Source organism: Homo sapiens, chromosome 9, assembly GCF_000001405.40.
Source record: "Homo sapiens chromosome 9, GRCh38.p14 Primary Assembly".
In the NCBI taxonomy this organism is placed as follows: domain Eukaryota; kingdom Metazoa; phylum Chordata; class Mammalia; order Primates; family Hominidae; genus Homo; species Homo sapiens.
Window position 1 is genome coordinate 70,646,113 of NC_000009.12, and position 21,862 is coordinate 70,667,974.

At 37.4% G+C, this 21,862-nt stretch overlaps 1 protein-coding gene across 19 annotated transcripts in view; it reads right to left on the reverse strand.

Annotated features, from left to right (window-relative positions):
- Positions 1 to 21,862, reverse strand: part of TRPM3 (transient receptor potential cation channel subfamily M member 3) — a 917,912-nt gene that overhangs the window by 117,053 nt on the left and 778,997 nt on the right. The window lies entirely within an intron of this gene.

Here is a 21,862-nt window from a genome sequence, read left to right on the forward strand (position 1 = left end):
TTTTTCACTGTTGGGAGTGTAAATTAGTTCAACCATTGTGGAAGACAGTGTGGCGATTCCTCAAGGATCTAGAACCAGAAATACCATTTGACCCAGCAATCCCATTACTGGGTATGTACCCAAAGGATTATAAATCATTCTATGAAGACACATGCACACATGTTTATTGAAGCACTATTCACAATAGCAAAGACTTGGAACCAACCCCAGTGCCCATCAATGATAGACTGGATAAAGAAAATGTGGCACATATACACTATGGAATACTATGCAACCATAGAAAAGGATGAGTTCATGACCTTTGCAGGGACATGGATGAATCTGGAAACCATCATTCTCAGCAAACTAACACAGGAGCAGAAAACCAAACACTGAATGTTCTCACTCATAGTGGGAGTTGAACAATGAGAACACATGGGCACAGGGAGGAAAACATCACACGCCAGGGCCTGTTAGGGGGTGAGGGGCTAGGGGAGGGATAGCATTAGGAGAAATATCTAATGTAGACTATGGGTTGATAGGTGCAGCAAACCAGCATGGCACATGTATCCCTATGTAACAAACCTGCATGTTCTGCACATGTATCCCAGAACTTAAAGTATAATAATAAAAAAAAAGCAGTGGAACTAAGAGTTGGTTTTTTGAAAAAATACATAAGATTGATAGACCACTAGCTAGACTAATAAAGAAAAAAGAGAGAAGATCCAAATAAACACAATCAGAAATGACAAAGATGACATTACCACTGACCCCATGGAAGTACAAAAAAAAAAAAAAAACCCTCAGAGTCTATTAGGGACACCTCTATGCACAAGAACTAGAAACCTAGAAGAAATTGATAAATTCCTTGTAACATACAACCTCCCAAGATTGAACCAGGAAGAAACTGAATACCTGAACAGAGCAATAGCAAGTTCTGAAATTGAATTAGTAACAAAAAATCTACCAACAAGAAAATGCCCTGGACCAGCGAGATTCACAGCCAAATTTTATTAGACATATAAATAAGAGGTGGTACCAATCCTACTGAAAATATTCCAAAAATTGAAGAGGAATGATGCTTCCTTAACTCATTTTATGAGGTCAGCATCATTCATAACCAAACCTGGCAGAGACACAATGAAAAAAAAGAAAACTTCAGGCCAATATCCCTAATGAACACAGAAGCAAAAATTCTTAACAAAATACTAGCAAGCTGAATCCAGCAGCACATCAAAAAACTTATCCATCATGATCAAGTAGGCTTCTTTCCTGGGATGCAAGGTTGGTTCACCATACAAAAATAAATAAATGTGATTCACCACATAAACAGAACTAAAAACAAAAAACACATGATAATCTTAATAGACACAGAAAAAGCTTCCAACAGAATTCAACATCCCTTTATGTTAAAAACCTTCAACAAACTAGGCATTGAAGGAACATACCTCAAAAGAATAAGAGCCATCTATGATAAACCTACAGCCACCATCATACTGAACAGGCGAAAGCTGGAAGCATTCCCCTTGAGAACTGGAACAAGACAAGGATGCCCACTCTCACTACTTCTATTCAACATAGTACTAGAAGCCCTTGACAGAGCAATCAGCCAAAAAGAAGGAAATAAAAGGCATCCCAATAGGAAGAGAGGAAGTCAAACTATCTTTGTTCACAGACAATATGATTCTATACATAGAAAATCCCATGGTCTATGCCCAAAGGCTCCAAGAACTGATAAACAACTTCAGTAAAGTTTCAGAATACAAAATAAATGTATAAAAATCAGTAGTATTCTATACACCAATAATGTCCAAGCTGAGAGACAAATCAAGAATGCAATATCAGTCACAATAGCTATAAAAAGAATAAAGTATTTAGGAATACCTAGCAAACAAGGGAGGTGAAAGATCTCTATAGCAAGAATTATAAAACACTGTTGAAAGTAATCAGAGACAACATAAACAAATGGAAAAACATTACATGCTCATGGATAGGAATTATTACTATTGTTAAAATGGCCATACTACTCAAAGCAACGTGCAGATTCAGTGCTATCTGTATCAAACTACCAGTGTAATTTTTCATGGAATTAGAAAAAACTGGCCAGGTTTGGTGGCTTATGCCTGTATTACCAGCATTTTGGGAGATGGAGGCAGGAAGATCACTTGAGCCCAGGAGTTTGAGACCAGCCTGGGCAACATAGGGAGACCTCATCTCTATAAGTAATACAAAATAGTTGACAGGCATGGTGGCATGTACTTGTGGTCCCAGCCACTTGGGAGGCCGAGATGGGAGGATCACTTGAGCCTGGGAGGTCAAGGCTGCAGTAAGCCATGATCATGGCAGCCTGGGCATCAGAGTGAAATCACATCTCAGAAAAAAAGCAAAGGAAAACCTATTCTAAATTTAATATGCAACCCAAAAAGAGCCTGAATAGCCAAAACAATCTTAAGCAAAAAGAATAAAGCTGGAGGCATCACACTACCTGACTTCAAACTATACTACAAGGCTATAATAACAAAACCAGCATCATACTAGTACAAAAAAAAAAGACACGTAAACCAGTGGAACAGGTTAGAGAACCCAGAAATAAAGCCACATACCTACAGGAATCAGATCTTTGACAAAGTCAACACTAACAAGCAATAGGGCAAGGACTCTCTATTCAGTAAATGGAGCTGGGATAACTGGTTAGCCACATGCAAAAGATTGAAACTGGACCCCTTCGTTTCACTATATACAAAAATCAACTCAAGATGGATTAAAGACTTAAATATAAAACCTAAAACTATGAAAATCCCAAGAGAAAACCTAGGACGTATAATTCTGGACATAGCACCTGGCACAGATTTCATGACAAAGACTCCAAAAGCAATTGCAACAAAACCAAATTAGACAATGAGACCTAATTAACCTAAGGAGCTTCTGCACAACAAAATAAACTATCAACAGAGTAAATGGACAACCTAAAGAATATGAGAAAATATTTGCAAATTATACATCCAACAAAGGTCTAATATCCAGAATATATAAGGAACTTAAACAAATCAACAAGTAAAAACAACCTCATTTAAAGATGGGCAAAAGACATGAACAGACACTTTTTTTTTTTTTTGAGATGGAGTCTCACTCTGTCACCCAGGCTGGAGTGGAATGGCTCAATCTCAGCTGACTGCAACCTCTGCCTCCCAGGTTCAAGCAATTCTCCTGCCTCAGCCTCCCGAGTAGCTGGGATTACAGGTGTTTGCCACCATGCCTGGCTAATTTTTGTATTTTTAGTAGAGACAGTGTTTTGCCATGTTGGCCGAGTTGGTCTCGAACTCCTGACCTCAAGCAATCTGCTAGCCTCAGCTTCCTAAAGTGCTGGGATTACAGGTGTGAGCCATCACACCCAGCTTAACAGATACTTCTTAAAAGAAGTGTATACATGTGGCCAATAATCATGGGGAAAATGCTCAGTATCACTATCGTTAGAAAAATGCAAATCAAAACCAAAATGAGATACTATCTGAAGCCATTCAGAATGGCTAGTACTAAAAAGTCAAAAAATAACAGATTTTGGTGAGGTTGCAAAGAAAAGGGAATGCTTATATACTGCTATAATAAGCATTATTATAATGTAATGGGAATGTAAATTAGCTCACTTCCTGTGGAAAGCAGTCCAGAGATATCTCAAAGAACTTAGAACTACCATTCAACCCAGCAATCCCATTACTGGGCATACACTCAAAGGAATATTAATTTTTCTACCATAAAGACACATGCACATGAATTTTTATCACAGCACTTTTTGCAATAGCAGAGACATGGAATCAACCCTGCCCATTAATGGTGAATTGGATAAAGAAAATACGGTATATATACACAATGGAATATTACACAGCCTTAAGAAAGAATGAAATCGTGTCCTTTGCAGCAATATGGATGCAGCTGGAGGCCATTATTCTAAGCAAATTAACACAGGAACAGAAAACCAAATGTCAATGTTCTCACTTATAAGTGGATGCTAAACATTGAGTACACATGGACACAAAGGGGAGAACAAGAGACACCAGGACTTACTTGAGGGTGGAGGGTGGGAGGAGGGTGAAGACTGAAAAACTACCCATTGAGTACTATGCTCACTGCTACCTGGATGATGAAATGATTTGTACACAAAACCACAGGGGCATGCAATTTGCCCATGTAACAAACCTGGACATGTACCCCCAAACCTAAAATAAAAGTTAAAAGAGGAAAAAGAAAGTCTAAGGCCAGCTCAATTTTTCCCCTCATAAAAGACTTGGTCATTTTGCCTGGAGGCCCAGGGTATCCTTTATTTTTCTCTGAAGTTTAGTAACTTTATTAGGATCTTTCTGGGCATTGATGATTGTGGGTCAGTTCTTCCTGGCATAAGGTGGCTCCTTCAATATCTAGATCAAGTTTAATATTTTTTAAAAATGAAAACATATCTAAATTATATTTTAAATTATGTACTTATATTTTAAAAATTTGTTTTGATTCATTTTTTCGGTTTCCTTCTTTGGAGACCAGTTATGCTTTTGTTGGATCTCCACTTTCTGTCATATAATTTCTCTTTAATCCCCATGAACTCTTTATTTCCACTTCATTTCATTTTTGTTCGCATTTCTATCCTCTGTGTCCTGCACTGGGTTTTTCACAATGTATATTTGATCTTGCAACATTTCTCAGTTCATCTGCAATTCTGTGATGATTCCCCCGCTTCATTCTTGAGTGCTATTCATACTTTATCTCCTTTTGCTGCCTCATCTACTCTTACCTGAATTTTGGCATTTCAGCTTTTAAGTATTTCTTCATAGATGAGTGCTTCAATAAGATTAAAAATTTTTAAATTTTATGTTACCTACTTATTCATAATGTTCATCTGTTCCCCAGAAAAATTTTTCTCCACTTTTTATCGCAAAGTTTTTATTGAACAATAGTAACACGACAATAAAAATGATACACATATGAAAGTGAATGAAGATCTGCAGTATAGAAAAGGTGTGTACAAAGAGACCAACGTTCGGGTTATATAGTTCTGTAAAATTTTAGCCATAGCACTTTAATACTGATCAAGCAGACACATAAAAAGGGAAAAAGTTTATTTAATGTTTTTGAAACTTAGACTTCTGACTACCCAGAAACATTTTTATAAAGAGTATTATTCTTCTGTTAATAGATTTTGCTCTTTTGTTATTCTTTCTTAGAATATCTCTGTATGCAGTCTATGCTAATCCCTTTTTTATTATTTATCATTTAAAAGGGCCCAGGATAGCATTTCAGTTTAGTTATTAATTATCACAACTGGAAGTCTTCCTGTAGTCTACTACAATGTCAAACTCCCTCCTGTAAGCATGGCTTATCTGACGTGGCCCACTGCCTCTATTTCTGTGTAATAAGTCAGGGACAGGAGGGACTACTGCCACCAACCAACTCACTCTTGTTTTTGCACATACTGTTCCAGACAAAGGAGAGAACTTTGCATCTTGGGGTGTCACTCACATCCAGGAATAATATTTCTGTTGGCGCTTTGTGAGGACTGCCACTGTTAATTTCTATCTCCCCTGCTTTCACCCCTTCCTCCTTCCTCCTGCATAGCTCCTGCATGTACAAACATTTTGGAATATAGTTCCTAGCTTCACCTAACATGCAGTCTGATTGTTTTTCTTTCTTTCTTTTTTCTTTACTATTTCTTGAAGCTTTCTAGGAGAAGAAGAGAAGGATGAGTTAGGTAGTCATGTCTACGTTGGAAGTCCTGAAGGATTTTGTAGGTAGAAGAGTGTTCTGATCAAAGCTTTGCATTAGTATTATTAGTATTCCTCTAACTGAAATATTGGGAATGGATAGGAACGTGCTCAATAGGAAGGAGGAAGACCCTTCAGAGGCCACTGCAATAAATCAAAGAAAAATCCTGAAGGCCTACTGTTGCTGAGCAAGGAGGAATATGAATAGATCGACATGGGGTTGATATGACAGATATTCTGGAGACAAAAAATGCTCGGAATTGGCAAGCATTTTCTTGGACAAAGGGAGGAATGTGGAGGAGGCTTCGAACCTAGATAATTGAAAAGATGGTGGCTATATGAACAGAAATAGGAAAATCAGGTAGAAATCAGGTTTTGGAGGAAAGATGATTACTTTGTTTATATTATTATTATTATTAATTATTTTTAAGACAGTTAATTTGATTGAATTTGAAGTGCTAAGTGACACCCGAGGGAGTTGTCCAGTAGGCAATCAGAAAAGGGTGAGCAGGGAGGGAAGCCAGGGTTGGAGGCAGACCTAGAGTTATTCATGTAGACGTGATATTTGAAACCATGGGACTTTATAAGTTTGGTGGAAGGTGAAGTGAAGAAATAAGGACATCTAATGAGGAAGACAAAGGAGTGGTCAGAAAGGCAGAATACTCAGGAACTTTGACACCAAGGAAAGGTAAAAATAAATAGAATTTTCATCATACAGTGACAGCCAATTACATGCTGGGCATATTACATGTATGATCTCATTTAATGCTCACAAAAAATCTGTACAGTGAGTATCTTTATTCCCACTTTGCTAATTGGAAAATAGGCTCAGAGAGGCAGAGTAACTCACAGTATCAGGCTTTAAACTGTGGTCTCCCCTCAAAGTAGAAAATAGTTGCCAGAAGAAGTGGATAAGGTCAACACTGTCAAAGTGGCTGAGAGGTTCAGGAAGATGATTATTGGGGTTAGGAGACAATTTGGAATCTTCAGGAGTGTGGAAAGCTGTGTGAATAAGTTTGGTGAGGTAGAAGCTGGGATGTAAGAGTCTGCAGAGTGAGTGAGTGAGTCAAGAATTTAGAGTACCTCTCAGAGTTTGCTGGTTAAGAGGAGAAAGGTTAGATGCTACCTTGCAGGGCTTGGTGGAGAGTAGCCAAGGACTTGTTAGGTCGATGAGGGCCTTGAATGTGCTTACAGCAGAAGGGGGAAAAGCCCTCGGAAAGGGAAACCGTGAAAGTGTAAAAGGAAAGAACATGTACATGATGGATGAGATCCTAGAGAATGGAGGCCAGGGAGGATTTGGGTTTAGCCAAGAAGAGAGGTCTTTAGAGAGAGGAAGAAAAGCAAAGAGGGTGAGTGAAGAAACTAATATTCATGAATGGAAAAGAATGATAGGAAGGGAGCTTGGCTGAGGCTGAATGTTATAAGTAGTAACAGGGGATACCATCTGCTGAAGGTGAGAGGGAATGGAGACATGGAGAGAATAGAGGAATGTGGGCAGTGTATTAGAGGATATGGCTTAAATGATGAGGGAGTTGCGGACCAGAGTCAGGGCCCACTTGAGGTAAGACATCACAAGCATGTCACGGCCCTAGTGATTACATGTTGCAGGAAATAGTTGTTTGGGGATATGGTTTTTTTTTGGTTGTTTCAGTCTTTCTCCCATCAGATTTGACCAACTCCACTTAACTTGGTCAAATCCAAGTGAGAATTCCAAATTATGGGTAACAAAGCCTCTCTAATTTGGCTAAAATTCCTCACAGCTGCAAAAGAGGAAAACAAAACAATACAAAACAAACCCAAAACACTATGCACTTGGTTTCTGAGTTTGCTTCCTGTCTCAAAAAAAAAAAAAAAAAAAAAAACAAACCAAACAAATGTTCTTTCATTTACTTTTCTTTCACCCTATACCTCTTTCCCCTTCACCATCTGCTTTACTAAAAAATCTGGAGAAGGCTTCTAACGACTTGAACTCCTGTAAAGAACTCAGAACAAAGGTGCCACTCACCCCTGTTGGGGTGTTCTGTTTTCTTTGTGGAGTTTCAAGAGTCATGGGTGGATTCTTCTTAGTTCTAAAGTTCTGTTTTCCTATATTGTATGATTTGACCTCTTTGGCTTTGTGGGTACCAGAGATTACCTTGTACTGTGAGGAGATTTGACCTTGGTGTGTGTAATGGCACTGAGAGCTCCAAACTTAGGGGTGGCTAAGCACAGTTTACAGGAGGTGGTCTTGGCTCTTTTTTTTTTTCTTCCTTGGAAGTTGTTGTTTAAGGATCCTAATTATAGTTCAGAGATGTATTCTAAAGCATCTTCTCTATTGCTTTTTCTCCCAAAATTAATCTCAGTTCAGCTTGTCTGTGTGCATTTGTGTGAGGAACTGAACTGTTGTTTTTATAGGTAAATGAGGGACTGAGTTTTCTCAGCCTTGAAGAGAAAGGGCATTTGCTCCTCCCAGCCAAAAGGTGCCCCTGGGTGACTGGGGGCCTTGTGGAAGTGTCTGGTGCGTTGACCTCCCATAATGTGCAGTGGCCCTTATAGGGAAATCCCCAACAAAAAGTTATTTAAAAAAAGGCTTGTCCAGGAAATGCATACAAGGGCTGATCACTTGGTGTTTTGAGCCCTCTCAGAGGTCATGGACCTCTGGAGGGAGAAACTGAGACATATAAGAGGGTGGAAATGATCCAGTGGTGACACACTGTGGAGTCCTGCTCATGAGCAGCACACATCGATCCACCACACAAAACCCCTAGGCCACAGCTCAATTCCTCCTTTTAAGAAAAACAGTGGGAAACAAATAATCTAAGAATGAGGAGTAAACAAGGAGAATGACCCCTTTTTAAGCACTCTGTAGTTTTTTTTTTTTTTGAGGTGGAGTCTCGCTCTGTCACCCAGGCTGGAGTGCAGTGGCGCGATCTTGGCTCACTGCAAGCTCCGCTTCCTGGGTTCACGCCATTCTCCTGCCTCAGCCTCCTGAGTAGCTGGAACTATAGGCACCTGCACCACGCCTGGCTAATTTTTTTTGTATTTTTAGTAGAGATGGGGTTTCACTGTGTTACCCAGGATGGTCTCGATCTCCTGACCTTGTGATCTGCCCACCTTGGCCTCCCAAAGTGCTGGGATTACAGGCGTGAAGCACTCTGTAGGTTTTACGGCACTTCTACCTGCCAGAGTTTATGTAAAATGGAAGTGATGGCCAGTGTGGTGGCTCATGCTTGTAATCCCAGCACTTTGGGAGCCCAGGTTGGGCAGATCACAAGGTCAGGAGTTCGAGACCAGCCTGACCAACATGGTGAAACCCCGTCTCTGCTAAAAATACAAAAATTAGCCAGGTGTGGTGGCTCGTGCCTGTAATCCCTGGTACTCAGGAGGCTGGGGCAGGAGAATCACTTGAACCTGGGAGGCAGAGGTTGCAGTGAGCTGAGATCATGCCCCTAAACTCCAGCCTGGGCGAAAGAGTGAGACTCCGTCTCAAAAAAAAAAAAAAAAAAAAAAAAAGAAAAAGAAAATGAAAATAATATGGCCTTTGTGCATATTCACATTAAGGAAAAAGAGCCCTAAGGTTGACCTGCAAACTATGGAGTTCCTAAGTTCTCTTTTTTCTCTATTTTCTTTTCAGCCTGCTTTAAATCTGCTATTATTTTTCTATTAAGGTAAAAACCACTGTTTGGCTCCAACAGGTTTTTTGTTTGCAAGCCAGTGAATTTGTATTTATCTCATGGCTAAGTTCTAAAGTAAAAGCTATAGGATCTTTGTGTGCGTGATTATATGTGTGTGTGTATATATTTAAAAGGCCTTTATGGTTTCTACAATTTTATGTTTAATTGGCAATTAAATCTGTTTTAATTTCCTTCTAGCACACCAGACTTTTTCTCTTTGTACCTTATGACGTAAATTTTGCTATTTGATTTTCACCTGAGTTGTTTCCTTCAGTATGCAAATTTAAAGCTATGTAGCTGATAACTGCTTAGGTTACTGAAAGAGTTATAATAATTTAAAAGGTTATCAAGAATTTGAAAGTCTAAGGTAGGAAAAAAAGCTCTTTTTGAATCTATAAGATATATTTCTATTGGCATGCCTAATACCTCTATGTATTTATATGTTGCGTACACAACGTTTCACTACTGAAAACATATAAAAGAGCTCTAATTAATTGGCTTAAGAAAATAAAAGTGCTTGAATCAAATACCTTATCAGAAAAAGTAAAGTCTAGTTAAATGCTTTGTCAAGTTTACGTAACTTAAGCAAACTGTTTAATAAATAACCTAGCTTTAAAATTATTGGTAAGGTAATATTAGAAATGTCTTAAGAATTGACAGCATACATTTTTGTTTGCATTTATTAATCAAGCAATTTTATACTAATTCCTGCCAAGTACTATAAAGTGTCAACATTTGGCATAGGGGTTAAAAAACTATAAACCCAGCCCAAGACAGAATGATCTTTGTTTATGTAATGTTTAATAAATAAGATACTCATATTGGTTTAATGGAAACAACTACATCTTGAATTTAGTAAGATTACCATAACTTCTAATCTTGTGGCTTTAGGCGGTCTAGTCCACAGGCAGTAAGATTTGTTTTGGGAAAAGACTGTTACCATCTTTGTTTCAAAGCTAAACTATAACTTCCTTCCAAAGTTGTTAATAGTTTGGCCTATGCCCAGGAATGAATGAGAACAGCTTGGAGGTTAGAAGCCAGATGGAGTCAGTTAATCAGATCTTTTTCACTGTCTCAGTTATAATTTTGCAGTGGCAGTCCATAACTGTAAATGATGACTATTGAAATTTTCATAAATAATCTAGGTAAACAAAATAAAATAATTAGGCAAATGTAATGGGATAAGCACTTGTAGACAAACTCATTGTAATTTAGAATCTAAAGTTGTATTAAATTAAATAATAGATATTTCATTATTTGGGTATTTTCCAATGAAAATAAATTGTAGGAAAACATTCTTTCTAAAAAAATGTGTGTCCTTTCTAAAAAGGTGAACAATTTTTGTATCATTCAAAGCTTATTTAAAGGTTATGTATAAAACAAGGTAAAATGAACCAGGAAATAAGAGAGATGTAAAGAAAGTTATAAAAAAAAGTGTTTTTTTTTTGGTAAGAAATCTTAAAAAGAAATATTTTATGTAAGAAAGAATCTTACATGGTAAATGTAGTCCTAGAATAAAATGACTGGTTGTTTAAGAAAGAGGGACGTTCAGGACAAACCAGGAAGTCCAAGAATATCATGAACAATCTGTATAAGTCACAATAAGAGGATTTATATACATAAAAAACCCAAAAAACTTTTATATGATTAAGTAGTTTGTAATTAAAGGGAAATTATAATGGTCTTTCTACACATTGGGCTTGAGGTAAAAAAAAAAAAAAAAAAAAGCTTGTACACCACTAAATAATTGGTTAGAACAATGAAATTTTCTTAAGGAATGTATTTACTCTTAAATTGTAAGTTTTTTTTTTAACCAAAGTTCAACTTTTATTGCATCTCACTATTTTTGCTTTTTTCTCCCCTTTTAAAGGCCACGAAATACTAACAACTCATTTTCAGCTCATATAAGTTGTTTTTCCTTGGGTTCTGTTTGTTGTGGCCTGATGCTAACAATGTTTTCTTAAAGGTCTAAAGGAAATGTTTTCTTCCAATATAATATTTGGTACACTGTAGAAGGTCTTTTCTTTTGCCTTTTGGTAACTGGCCTAACTGGCCTAACAGATTTTATGGTTTATTGAAACAATTCCTATGCCATTATTATTAAGTTTAGTTTGCACAGGAAAAAATCTGAGATTAAAAAATTTTTTTTAAATTAAGATTATTACACCTGTGTATCTTTCTGTATGTGCTTTTAAAGTGCTTTGACATTGAGTTACAGGGCTTTTACTCCTGAGTCTAAAAAGGACAGCAATTCCTGCTAAATCTTAAACACTGACAGCAATTAATCTCACATCTTCGGGTCTGGTAGAAGACGCCGATCAAAGTAAACTGCATTCTGGAGACACAGGGCCAGAAATTAAAGCTATTCAATCCTCAAGGCCCAGGGACTATTGCAGAAGAGGTGAGTGTGTGATTGTAAGGGCCAATTTTGAGAGAGAAAATAAATTCAGTTTCTATAAATTAATCATCAATGTCAAAGGCACACTGATGCAAGACCAGCCTATGGGCCCCTATATCAGATTAACAAGGTTTTCTTGAAGCATTAACTGACTCCCTAATAAAGGTTATAAAAGGCTTATGGAAGTTATATCTTATGGTTAAGATTGCAATTTTATAGATTGTTTATAAAATTTTGAAAAACAAATTTAATTAGCTTCATGCTGTTTTATTAGGGCTTATTGTTTGGAAAATTAAGTCTCCTGTCCCAAAGAATGAAGGTTATAACCTGTTCTTTTTTGAAATCCTTGAGTTATCACTTTGGTCAAATGAGTGACTTATTTTACAATGACCTGTGATATCAAGTGTTTTAAACCTTTGATATTTGACAAACTTTCCAAAATCAAATTACAAATTATGTATTTTTCTGACCTAATTAATCCTCTAAGATATTAGGTTCCCTAAAGTCCAAAAATGACATAATTTGGCTTATTTGGTATAAAAATTATACAGGAAGCATTGTCAAATATGAAATGGTGTTTGGTTTTCTTTGGGCTGTGATTGTATAAATATGTTATTGGTATGTGTTTCAAAATTATGAGAAACTTCTATAATTATGATATGACTTAGTGTATGTTATTAGTAATAATTATAATCGTTATGTTAAATTTTTGTATACTACAGAGGTAACAAATTTCCTTGTCAATTGTGTCTTTGACTATGGCTGCCCTAAAACTTTTTGTCATCCATGGACAATTGTTGTCTTGTTTTTGTCCTCTTTAGAAAGTGGTTTTATAATCAGCTATAAAACTCTAACAGGTGCTTCTGAACACAGGTTTCTGATAACTTTGGAGATTGTGACATCAGAATAGGGAAAAAACTTTCAGGACTCATGGAGAGCTGAAATGTTCATGAATATCAAGCAGAACAGGAATTAACAGCATGGACTGAACTAACAGAAGATTGAAGTAATCTTTTTGACTTTTGGTTTAAAATGTTGCTGATCATTTGTTTTTTTGTCAGAGTCAAGAAAACTTTTCTTTTGAGTTATTGACAGCTTTTAAGAAGTTAGTATACTCCTATGAACAAAATTTGGAGCATATTTTTTTCTCTCTACCTGATTTCTCCAGAATTTGGAAACTATTTGTGAGTAGTCTTAACTTATGGCAATACAGGTATTTGAATAAGTCTAATAAGAAGCTGTTTTCCTTTGTAATAGGACACAACTGGAGAACCTGGTTATTTTACCAAGACTTTGACTGGAATGGTGTGCTTTCCTTTAAGGAACTGAACTTGACTTATGGAGCCAATAAAAGCCCCTTGGGAAAACTGGCCTCATACCTTGTTTACACAGTCCTTGTACAGGGTTCCTGACCGGTGGTAAGTAAAGAATCTCACTTTCTGACAGGCCCAGGAGCCCCAAGTTTTATGTTGGGACCTCAAGAGGAGAGGAATTGACCCAACTCATAGGTATTTGATGGTACAAATCCATGGCTGGGTTGGGTTTTTACAAAGTCTTATCTGAGATTCCTTCTATGGAACAAAGTTCCATTAAAGCCAATATAAAAGCCTATGTAAAAAATAATTATTCTTGCAGCACTGTATACAAATAACTGGGCCAAGTATAATAAAGCAAATCTGTCCTACCATGATGTGTCTTTAGTAAAAATAGGAAACTGGAGAAAAATTATGTTTCAAAAACTATAGTATACCTGTTGTTAGATTCTAGTCTTGTCTAATGTTTTTCAATTTTTATTATTTTCTACAATTTGGACTGAATTCTAATTTTTCTTGGCTACAAGTCTTCAAAATAATGTTAATATTTTTTCCTTTTTTTCCTCACTTTTCTTAATTTGGAGTCACAAAAACTAAGCTGTGCTTTCATAAAGCCCTGTGAACTGAAGCTAGACAACTTAAACTTCAGAAGAAAATAATGGTAACCTATTTACATACATAAGCCACTTTCATACCTGCCTACTGATGGATCGACTTCACAGTAATGTGGCCTATATTGATTTTCCAAGATTGTTCTTTTGTCTGTTGTTGTTTTTCTCCCTTCTCCCCCTATTTTCTCTTCATAGGACATGAGACTTAACAACCTGCTAAAAATGAGCTTTCCTAACAACTTGGGACCTACCTGTCTAGGAATAAACCATTATAGCCATGACAGATCAGATGAAACCTGAGATCAGAGACTCATTTTCTTCTAAAATGCTTTCTCCAAAAGATTTTAAAAAAGAAAAGGGGGAGTATGTCAAAGGAAAATCAGTCTTGGGGCCTCCAAATCACTGAGCTAAAGGGAAAAGTCAAACTGGGAACTGTTTAGGACCAACTTGCCTCCCATTCTATTCAAAGACACCCCTCTGCTTACTGAGATAAATGCATATCTGATTACCTCCTTTGGAGAGGCTAATCAGAAACTCAAAAGAATGCAACCGTTTGTCTCTTATCTACCTATGACCTAGAAGCCCCCTCTCTGCTTCGAGTTGTCCTGCCTCTGCTTCAAGTTGTCCTGACTTCCTGGACCAAACCAATTTTCATCCTACATATGTTGACTGATGTTTCATGTCTCCCTAAAATGTATAAAACCAAACTGTGCTCTGACCATAACTCCTCAGAACTTGCTAAGACTGTGTCATGGGCACACAACCTCAACTTTGGCAAGATAAACTTTCTAAATTAGCTGAGACCTGTCTCAGATATTTGGGGTTCATGAAGGCTACTATGAACATCTTTACACACACAAACTAGAAAATCTATAAGAAGTGAATACATTCCTGAAAATATACAACCCTCCTAGATTAATTCAGGAAGAAATAGAAACCCTGAAAAGACAAATAACAAGCAGCAAGATTGAATAAGTATTAAAAAATGCCAACAAAAATGTCCAGGACTAGATGGATTTACAGCTGAATTCCACCAGACATTCAAAGAAGAATTGGTACCAATCCTACTGAAACTATTCCAAATGATAGAGAAAGAGGGAATCTTCCCTACATCATTCGATGAGGCCAGCATCACCCTAATACCAAGACCAGCAAAGGACATGTCAAAAAAAGAAAACTACAGACCGATATTCCTGATGAACACAGATGCAAAAATCCTCAACAAAATACTAGTGAACTAAATCCAACAGCATATCACAAAGATAATGCATCATGATCAAGTGGTTTCATACCAGGAATGCAGGAATGGTTTAACATATGCAAGTCAAGTCAATAAGTGTGATATATTACATAAACAGAATTAAAAACAAAAACCATATGATCATCTCAATAGATGCAGAAAAATAATTTGATAAAATCTAGCATGACTTTTTGAAAAAAACCCTCAACAAAACAGGCATAGAAGGGACTTACTTTAAAGTAATAAAAGCCATATCTGACAAACCCACAGCCAATGTCACACTAAACTGGGAAAAGTTGAAAGCATTCTCCCTGAGAACAGGAACAAGACAAGGATGCTGACTTTCACCACTTCTATTCAACTTAGTACTGGAAGTCCTAACCAGAGCAATCAGACAAGAGAAAGAAATGAAAGGAATCCAAATCAGAAAAAAGGATGTCAAACCATCGCTGTTCACAGATTATATGATTGTATAGCTAGAAAACCCTAAAGACTCATCCAAAAAGCTCCTAGATCCAATAAACAAATTCAGTAAAGTCTCAGGATACAAAATCAATGTACAAAAATCAGTAACACTGGAATACACCAAAAATGACCAAGCTGAGAATCAAATCAAGAACAACAGCTGCAATAAAAAGAAAACCTTAGGAATACACTTAACTAAGGAGGTGAAAGATCTCTACCAAAAAAACCCTACAAAACACTGCTGAAAGAAAGATAAGTGAAATAAACAAATGGAAATAAGTTCCATGGCCATAGATGGGAAGAATCAACATTGTGAAAATGACTGTACTGCTCAAAGCAATCTACAGATTCAATGCAATTCCCATCAAAATACCATAATTCTTCACAGAACTAGAAAAAACAATCCTAAATTCATATGGAAGCAAAAAAGATCCCACATAGCCAAAGAAATACTAAGCTGAAAGTACAAATATAAAGGCTTCACATTACCCAACTTCAAGTTATACTACAAGGTTACAGTTATCAAAACCGCGGGGTACTGGTATAAAAATAGGCACATAGACCAATGGAACAGAAATAGAGAACCTAGAAATAAAGCCAAATACTTGGAGCCAACTGATCTTTGACAAGGCATACAAAAACATACATTGGGAAAAGGACACCCTATTCAATAAATGGTGCTGGGAAAACTGGCAAGCCACATGTAGAGGAATAAAACTGGATCTCCATCTGTCACCTTATACAAAAATCAACTCAAGATGAATCAAAGAGTTAAATCTAAGATCTGAAATCATAAAAATTCTAGAAGATAACATCAAAAATACTCTTCTGGACATTGGCTTAGGCAAAGAATTCATAATTAAGTACCCAAAAGCAAATGCAACAAAACAAAAATAAATTGCTTCTTCATAGCAAAAGAAATTACAGAGTAAACAGACAACCCACAGAGCGGGAGAAAATATTCACAAACTATGCATCCAACAAAGGTCTAGAATCCAGAACCTACAAGGAACTCAAATCAGCAAGAAAAAAACAAATAATCCCATGAAAAAGTGGGCAAAGGTCATGAACAGACACTTCTCAAAAGAAGATATACAAATGGCCAACAAACACATGAAAAACTGTTCAACATCACTAATTCTCATGGAAATGCAAATCAAAACCACAGTGAGACACCAGCTTACTCCTGCAAGAATGGCCATAATTAAAATGTCAAAGAACAATAGATGTTGGTGTGGATGTGGTGAAAGGAAACACTTTTACACTGCTGATGGGAATATAAATTAGTACAACCACTACAGAAAACAGTATGTGGATTCCTTAAAGAACTAAAAGTAGATCTACCATTTAGTCCAGCAATCCTGCTACTGGGTATCTAGGAAAGGAAAATAAGTCATTACATAAAAAAGACAGCTACATGCATATATTTATTACAGCACAATTCGCAATGGCAAAGATATGGAAGCAACATAAGCGCCCATCAATTAATCAGTGAGTAAAGAAAATGCAGTATATACACACCACGGAATATTACTCAGCCATAAAAAGGAATGAAATATTGTCTTTTGCAGCAGCTTGGGTGGAGCTGGAGGCTATTATTCTAAGTGAAGTAACTCAGGAATGGAAAACCGAATATTGTATGTTCTCACTCATAAGGGGAACTAAACTATGAGGATGTGAAGGCATACGAATGATATAATGTATGTTGGGGATTCAGAGAGGAAGGTTGGGAGTGGGGTGAGGGATAAAAGACTACATATTGGATACAGTGTATACTGCTCAGGTGACGGGTGCATTAAAATCTCAGAAATCAACACTAAAGAACTTATCCATGTTCAACCCAAACCACCCATACTCCAAAAACTATTGAAATAAAATTAATTAAAAAATAACTACTGAGTGTTCAAAAATTATGAATGAGCAAGTGAATGAATGTCTCACCATACCCTCACTATAGTGGTTATAATAATTTATCAGATCTTTGACATTATATTGTTATTATTTTCCTTTTCATTGCCACTATTTCCCCTGAATCCAGGAGTCTCTTTCATTTGAGCCTTTTTCATATTTTATTTGTAATTTATATTATGGTCTCTACTTCTACCATATTTTAAGATTGTTTTACACATCTTTAAGACTTTGTAGCACTTAAGTTAATGATTTGTACACAGTAGGTGTGCCAGGGATTAGGTAATTTATCTCTGGTATTAGGATGGATACACCCTGGCTTCTTGGAGAACTGAATAAGATCTAAGCCAAATGGCAGCTATCTGACGCAATTCTGATCTGTGTCTGGTTACCCTTTACTGGATAGCAGTTGAGTGGCAAGTAAAAATGTGGGCCATGACACCTTCTTTGGGTGAAAGAGAAAGAGCACTGATTTTATTTATTATTTGTAGGAGCTGGAGAAAATTACTTAACCTCTCCAAGACTTAGTTTCTTCATGAATAAAATGATGTCAATAATATCTTCTTCAAAGGATCACTTTGAAGATTAAATAGATAATATTATGTTATTAAGGCACTGTACAAATATTTTTAGTGTTTTACATATTTCCAACAATAAATTTACCAAATTAATAAGTTAATAGACTTAGCAGGTAAATAATGCCACTGCCATGCAGACACTCCTGGATGGAGAAGAGTTACCAGCCAGGTTATTAGTTTGATTTCTGCTATAGTTAATGAGAATATTTAGGTATCATTGAATTTTCATAAAAAGATGCTCTCTACTAAATCCCTAATTTTTCAGAATTAAGTACAGATAGCCCTAAATTACCCAGGGCTTGTACACATAGAATTGCTGATCAGTATTAGAAATTGTTCTCTGGCAGAAATCAGGGAGTCATCCAAATGCTACCTTCTATTGAGGCTTTCTTTTCAGACACTTCCCTAAGTGAGTTTAAGCTTGTAAAGGCTAAGATATAAACAAGAGGATGTAAATTTATTGCAGTGCAAGAGTCTTAATCTAGATACAGGTGCTCTATTTAGATTTTAAGAATGTGATTGCTTTGATGGAACTTAACTTGAGAGAATTTGTTGTGTGTTTATCCCCAGGTAGCCTGGGCCATGGACATGGGGGATTCTCCATGAGAGCCACAACCACACCCGATTAGGAGAGTAGTTTTTTTTTTTTTTTTTTTTTTTTTTTGAGACTGAGTCTCACTCTGTTGCCTAGGCTGGAGTGCAGTGGCATGATCTTGGCTCACTGCAGCCTTTGCCTCCCAGGTTTAAGTGATTCTCATGCCTCAGTCTCCCAAGTAGCTGGGATTACAGGAGCACACCACCACCCCCGGCTAATCTTTGCATTTTTAGTAGACATGGGTTTCACCATGTTGGCCAGGCTGGTCTACAACTCCTGACCTCAAGTGATCCACCCCCCTCAGCCTCCCAAAGTGCTGGGATTACAGGCGTGAGCCACCACACCGGCCTAGGAACGTACCTCTCACGCCCTCCCAGGGCTGCCTGGTCTAACAGGACATCACTCTGGATTCTCCAGTGGCACCTGACACAGGCTGCTGATAGAATTGTAGCACCTGTCCTGACAGGTCAGGGCTGGCTGACAGCGCCTCAGAAACTAAAGGCCACTTCTCTTCTGAGGATTGCACCCTGCCTGGAGTGGGAGCTGAACTCTTCCTCTTCCCGGGTCTAGGGATGGCAGGAGGTGGTAATTCAGCATTGTTTGTTTTTTTCCTCTTACCTATTGAGTGTGCATTTCCTGTGTAAGATCTCACTCACTCTGAAGAACTGTTCTTAGTTTCATTTTCAGAGCTAGGGTATTAGACTTTGAAGAATCGAAGCTATATAGAAACCTCACAAAGTCAGATAATTAAATATGTCTGTCTCCTTGGTGATCTTGGCCAGGATTTTCTGCAGTAAATATTGCCACTATATTCTCATGTGCAAGCAGAAAGGACCACTGAAACTATATGGCCTTACGATGAATAACATTGGAAAGCACCAGGGTATTTGCTTCATTTTGTCAACCTATCCAAATAGACACGTTCTCTTTATTGTGCCCTCTGCCATAAAGTCAGTCAGTACTTCGCAGGTGTCCCATGAACGTGTTAACAGAGAACTTCATGAGTGTGTCTGTTTTATACACAATATGCAAAGCTGAGAAACATGTTACTAATATAAAACTGAGGGAGTAAAAGAAAAACCATTCAATTGGGCTATTCTGCTTACTTATGACAAAAAGGAATTCATTTACACAGCTGGATATATAAAAATACCTGCATTCCCCATATTTTTATTTTTGAGCAGGAGTCTATGGAAACCTATGTCCTGAAGTTCTGGTGTATTTTCTGGAATTATTGCAATTAATGATTTTCAACCTTCTGTTCCCTTTTTCTTTTACTCATTCTGTCTCTTTGAGTTCTGGGAAATTCAGGAACCATATATGCTTCATTTTTACTAAAGTTATACATGCACAGAGTTGAGAGTCATCTATTCCCGCAAGATTTGGTGTAAAAATTACAAGCCTCAATGCCCCATTCCTCTTTCCACAGAGGCAACCAGAGGATTAGACTGGTTCTTTCTGCTAGTTGGTCTTTGAAGATGGCTTCCAAGGAACCGTAGCTCCCAGTGTTCATACTCTTGTGACATCTCCTCTCATGCAGAATCTGGGCTGGCCTGGTGGCTGGCTGTAGCCAATAGAATGCAGCAGGGTGACATGACGGCAGTTCCAGGCAGAAGCCTTAGCAAGGTCTGCCAGCTCTTGCTTTTGCCTCCTAAGCTCCTGGGGGCAGAACTATCACCTTGGGTCTCCCTTCTTCACGATCCAGGGAATTTCCAACTCCTCTGTTTTGTGTGGAAGCTCCTATTTCTTGTGTTTTGTGTTCTGTATTTGTTTATTATTTTTTGGTTTCCTCTTTCATTTTGGTAGAGCACATCCTCCAGTAGTTTCTGAAGAAAAACATCTGCAGAAAGTGGTTTTTCCAGGCACCTAATGCCTGCCAATATCTTTATTTTACCATCACAAGTGATCAGTAGATTAGATATAGGCCTAGATTGAAAATACATGTCTTCAGAATTTTTAAGGCATTGCAAAGTTGTATAATAGCTTTCTGCATTGTTGTTTGGAAGTCCAAAGCATTCTAGCTCCTAGTTCTTTGCATGTGGCCCACTTTTTCTCTTTAGAAGCTCTCACTTTCTCTCTTTTCCCCTGTTCTCTTGCTCCTGTGTTCCTCTATATTATGATAGTATGACTTGGTATAGGATTATTTTCACTCAGTAGTTTCTTACAACCTGAAAATGTATGTTCTGGAGTTCTGGGACATTTTCTGGAATTATTGCATTGTTTTTTTATCCACCATTCTCTCTTTTATTCTTCCTGTCTCTACTTTCTGGAAGAGTATTTCAATTTTATGTTTTAATTATTCCCTTAATTTTGTATTAATGCTATCCTATTTTTAATCCCCCAAAACTCTTTCTAGTTCTTAAAACAATTGAGTGTTTTATAGGATGTTGTTCTTTTTTTAATGGTTAAAACATTTTCTTTGATTTCTCTGAGGCTATTAAAGACAGTATTGGTGAATTTCCTTCTCCCTACATAGCTCTGTTTGCTCCACACTGCATCTCGCTGTTTATCTCTCTCTCTCTCTTCTGTGTTAGAGGTCTTTCCTATGTGTTTGGCAATCCTTGGTTAACTGTTCATATTTAAGAGTGGGCATAAGAGTGCTGACTGGAAGCCCCCGAGAACATAAGTGGAAATGATCAACTGTGAACTTAATGGTTAGATAAACTGGTTGGGCTTCTTATCTGGGAAATCTTTTGTGTGAGTGTCTTTAGGTCTTATTTCTTGGGAAGATCAAAATTTACAGAAAAGGCTCCTTCCAGTCTTTTGCCTGGAGGATAAAGACCAAGCTGCCAGCACACTGGGAACCAAGTTGGGGAAGAGGGCTGAGGTCTCAGCATCTAATATGCATTAATTGATTTCATCTCCTTCCCCTTGCATGGCCCTCTTTCAGTGTTGTGGCCCAGGTCTCACTTTGTACCTGGTTCCCCTAGACCAGAAAATCTGTTTTACTCTCACTAGAGAATAAATATTTACCTTTTGATTGGAGTGTGCTTTGCAGAGTAGAGGAGAGGATATGGCATTCTGTCTGCTTCTTAAAAAATACAATAAATCTTTTATATTTTCTCTCTCTTCACTCTCCCTTTTTGTTTCTGGATGCCCCAATTCCTGGGCCTTTTGAGCATTTTAAAATGTAAGTCAGTTTGATATCAGCTTAATATTCAGGTTTGTTTTCTGGTCTGCTGTTCTCCATTCTTATCTGCTTCTCATCTTCCATGTTAGAAATGCCACACATCACTTCTGATCACATCCCATTGGTTGAAGCACACTCACATGGCCCCAACTTCTCTGCAAAGGAGGCTAGGATAGTTAGTCTTCCAGTGTATAATAAGAGAAACCAGTGTGGTGAGCATGAAATATGGTTTCTGCCCTAATCCT